This window comes from Homo sapiens, chromosome X (genome assembly GCF_000001405.40).
Source record: "Homo sapiens chromosome X, GRCh38.p14 Primary Assembly".
In the NCBI taxonomy this organism is placed as follows: domain Eukaryota; kingdom Metazoa; phylum Chordata; class Mammalia; order Primates; family Hominidae; genus Homo; species Homo sapiens.
In genome coordinates this window covers 130,549,027-130,553,298 of record NC_000023.11, presented here as the reverse complement: position 1 = coordinate 130,553,298, position 4,272 = coordinate 130,549,027, and the positions used below count along the sequence as shown (strand labels likewise).

At 41.9% G+C, this 4,272-nt stretch overlaps 1 annotated feature.

Moving 5' to 3' along the window:
- Nucleotides 695-744: an enhancer, noted in NCBI's record as "active region_29942". NCBI's record gives its function as "activates an Ori minimal core promoter by ATAC-STARR-seq in GM12878 lymphoblastoid cells {active_cell/tissue: GM12878}" and the evidence as "EXISTENCE:reporter gene assay evidence [ECO:0000049][PMID:35858748]".

Here is a 4,272-nt window from a genome sequence, read left to right as displayed (position 1 = left end):
CAAGATGTGATAACTAATGTAAGGTTGCTTCTGACCCCTAATATTCCCACACTGAAACTCTATTAGATTCCACATTGACAGCCCCTTCTGACTCCAATCTACCAGCTTCTCACTGAGCCAAAGAGTATAAGGTCCCTCAAGAGCAAAGCAATTTATTTAAATAACACAGTAAGTAGATGGAAAAGTGTGTTGCATTCAGAAAGTCAACATTCTCCTGCTGAAAGTAAAAGGTCTGGTGTGGCTGCTCCTGTTGCGATGGTAGAACTGGCACAAGTCCCTCTGTCCCCTTCTATTGGGTCATTTCCCAGTTCATTTAAGTGGAACCAGTTAAATTAGTTTCTGAAAGTTGTATTTACAACAGGGCTGGAGCCTTTCTGTAGGGGAAAACCCAGGCTCTAGCTTACTGCACTCAACACCCGGGGACCTCCCTTTGGAACTGCCAGGAAGGACAGACTCTGAGAAGTTGACATGCCTTTGTCCAGATGGATGCACCAGAGCAGAAAGCTTGAGCTTCCCACCGTTTAAAGAGCTGCCCGAAACTCCCTTCTATTTCAAAAGGTTAAAGGGGTCTTGCCTACTGTCTAATGAGTAAGATCTTCTGGGACACCCCCTTATAGGAAATGAAACAATCTATTTCTAAGGTCTTGTTTACATCTTCCCCTTGCAGTGGTTGGGAACTCCTTGACTGTAGGACTGCTATGTGTGAACACGGAAATGCAAAGTCTACTCAAGCAGATCTTGAACTGCCATTGATTCCTTTCAAGTGATAGAGGTTTAATTAGTTGTGTAATGAGGCTGCCTAGGTGCCGAGTGTAACCTGCTCTTAAGGGAGAACCATTTATACTGCCTTTGAAGCCCACCAGAAATGGTGTCAGCTTGCTGCAAGAAGGGCTGAGCCAACTGCAGCTGTCAGATTGTCTCTGACTGAAGCTGAAGAGAATCAATGAGACCTTGAATCTTGTGGAGGAAGCCCGGATGGCGGGCAAGCTTTCAGAAGGGTGTTCTGAGCATTGAGCATTCTGCCAAGACAGCAAGGCTCTATATGTAGACCCAAATAAGATTTTGCTACTCTTTCCTTTTCTCGTGGCTCATTCTCTTCCTTAATACATTTCCTTTAGTCTCTCTTCCTTCAGTCCTATCTCTGAAAAAAAAAAAATCCTCCTTTCTAAGAAAAACCCTTCCACTAATTCCCCTCTCAGCCTCCTCCTCTGTCATCTCTTTATATGAATTGGCCAGTCCCTCCCTCATTTCTAGTGCCTCCCTCTGCAGGCCCCTTCCTCTCTGACTTCAGTGATGCTCTAGACTCCACAAGCTTTTCCTTCAGGCCTCTGGGTTCTCAAGTTGCTGAAGCTTGCTTTCCTTCCCTCCACTACCACACTCATTCCTTTAAATCTTTGAAATCTGGCCTCTAACTCCACCCTTCTACCAAATGGATTCTTTAGGGTGGTCTTCAATGCATCCTGATCACCAACTAGTGTGACTTTTTTCTTCATGTTCCCTCTCCTGACCTCTCCTCAACTACTGTTTGTTTGTTTGTTTGTTTGTTTAAAAAAGCATTGGCCACCTGTTCTGCCATCAGAGCTATCTTAGGAAATAAATTTATCATTCTTACCATCAAAAATCTTCAGTGGCTCCCTAATGTCGGCTAAACTAAGGACAAACTCCTTATCCTGGCTTTCCAGGTCATGATCCTCCATCTGGGCCTCACTGCCACCACCCTCCCCAATCCCTCCCTGATATATACTTTTTAATCTGGCCTAAAATACTTTCTGTTCCCAGTATACATTCTGACAATTCTCGCTTCTGCAGTATTGCTCACACCATTCCCTCCACTTACAAGGCCCTTTCTCATATTTCACAGGTCTAAACCCAATTCAATGAATATTTCTTGGGCACCTATTTCATGCCAGAGACAGATCAGATATTACTTCCTTTGTGAAGCTTTCCCTGGTCCTATAGACAGTGGATCCCTACAGAATTTTTGGTTTTGGGAGGAGGGTATAATCTCCTCATGGAACTTCAAACTCCACAAATACTTTGAATACTGTTTTTGCCCTTTATTAACTCATATGCTCTGGAAGGACAGATGCCATGTCTTTGTATTCCTGGAGTATTTAGCACAATGCTTTCTTCATCATGAACATTCAATAATTTTCTGTCAAATAAATTCAGACTGTGCAATTTATAATGATTTCTACTCATGATTCCAGTCATTTTCCTGAGACATTAAACCTACTGAGTCCTTGCTCTCCCCAAGCTCAGCCAGATAAATGTTCCCCTTTTGACTCCTCTGTTGGGTAAGAATGGTAAGACTGTAGGAACACCATATGCCACCAGTACTAAACAAGGTATGCGAGAGCAACACCTAAAAGAGCATGCTATTTCAAAAAAAGAAGCAACACTGAAGCTACAGAGAGTATCAGATGCCAGAACCAGCAAAGCCACATGCCAAAAAATTGAAGCCAAGGTTGTGAGTGTGGTATCATGTAGGGGATGAGAGAAGCATACAGGTCTCCTGAAAATTTGATGTCCAAAATTTCCTGTACAATCGGAGCTCAGCAGTAACAATTCTCCCAAAGATATCAAGGCTCCAGAAAATGCTTAGACTTGAGGTCCTTGTGTTTGGGGCAGCAGTAAATCTACCTGAAAATAAAAACCTTCAAGAAGTGGATGCTTAGAGAGAAATGAAAAGGCTGAAACATCGGAAACACCTTTGTTTCATGGAAATGACACTAATTTAGTGAAAAGGGGAAGCTAGCTTTAGAGGAGAAAAAAAAAATAGCTCCATCAAACCACAGGTGACAAACAGCTCTTTTTCCCTGTAGTTGAAAGCAAGTGAAATGAGCAGCCAGTGTACCTCACAGGCTAAGGAACATATTAGGATTTGTTTTTGTTACTATTTTAAGTGAGAGCTGACCTTGTGCTTCTCATTTCTGGAATAAGAACACTGTTTCCAGAGGCATCACAGAGCAGTAGAAAGATCACAGGCTTTGGGGCAGAGACATCTCTGGTCAAATTCTAGCCTTGTGCCTATTAACTATACCTTGGAAAAGTTATTGATTCCTGTAGCCCCAGTTTTCTCAACTGTAAAATGAAGACAAACATACCCTCTCTGCAGGGTGATTGGAATGATAATGACAATAGCAGCAGCATTCATTTATTAGGTAGAAGGCATGCTAAGCTTACTTCATGCATATTATTATCTCACATATGCTACCACACAACCATCTGAGCTAGGTTCCATTAATATTAGCACTCCCGTTTTACAGGTGAGGAAACTAGAACTCTGAATAGTTAAGCGATTTATCCAAGGTCATACAGCTTATGAATGGCACAGCTAGCACTGAAATCCAAATCTAGATGTGCTCTTAATTCGCTACTATAGCCAATCTTGCTAGAGACCATCCCACGCCCCTCCCCACAGCGTTGCCCTGTGCATCCTCTCCACCTGGTGTTCATCAGAATCCTTTGCAGTGTCCTTAATAAACCGAGATAGTCTTCATTTATTTCCTCTTCATGTTTCCCCCTCTTTCAAGCTGCCATGAAACACAGACTCTTCTCATTTAAAGAAAATGCTTAGCTGGCTTTTGGAACATAATTCTTTCATTAGCAGGTCTCGCTCTGTCATCCAGGCTGGAGTGGAGTGGCGTGATCATAGCTCACTGTAACCTCCTGTGCTCAAGTGATTCTCTCATCTCAGCCTCCCGAGTAGCTGGGATTACAGGGTAACTTCCTGCAATGAGTCAGCTAAACATTCCTGAATCCAACCATTCTACCCCTGGCAAACTCCAGTATCTGATGCTCTATCACGTGTGGAAACATAAAGTCACTCACATCAGTTTCAACAAGTACACTGCTTAGTGAAATACGGGTCTTTGAAAACATACTGGAATTTGAAAAAAGAAACAACACATTGATGGTAATGTCTTCCTCTGAATGAATGTGTGTAAAACTGTAACAGGCACAAAAACCAAAGCCAAAGAATCAAAGACTTACATCTGTCAAACCTATTCCACAGAAGCCATTTCAATATCAGGGCTATTTCTTAGAAAATGTATCTCACAATTTAAATTTGAAAACAAAGCAAAGCACAAACACCAAGTAGAAGTTACACTACAAGGAACATGCAGGTCAGCCAGGTGTAGAAGATAAATGGTCAAAATATGATATGAAGAAGAAAACTAAGAAAGTACATATAGCAATTCAATCTCTACCAGGTTTTCTGAATAAACATTGGAATTTAATAGAATTAAAAATAACCTCTCATAATGG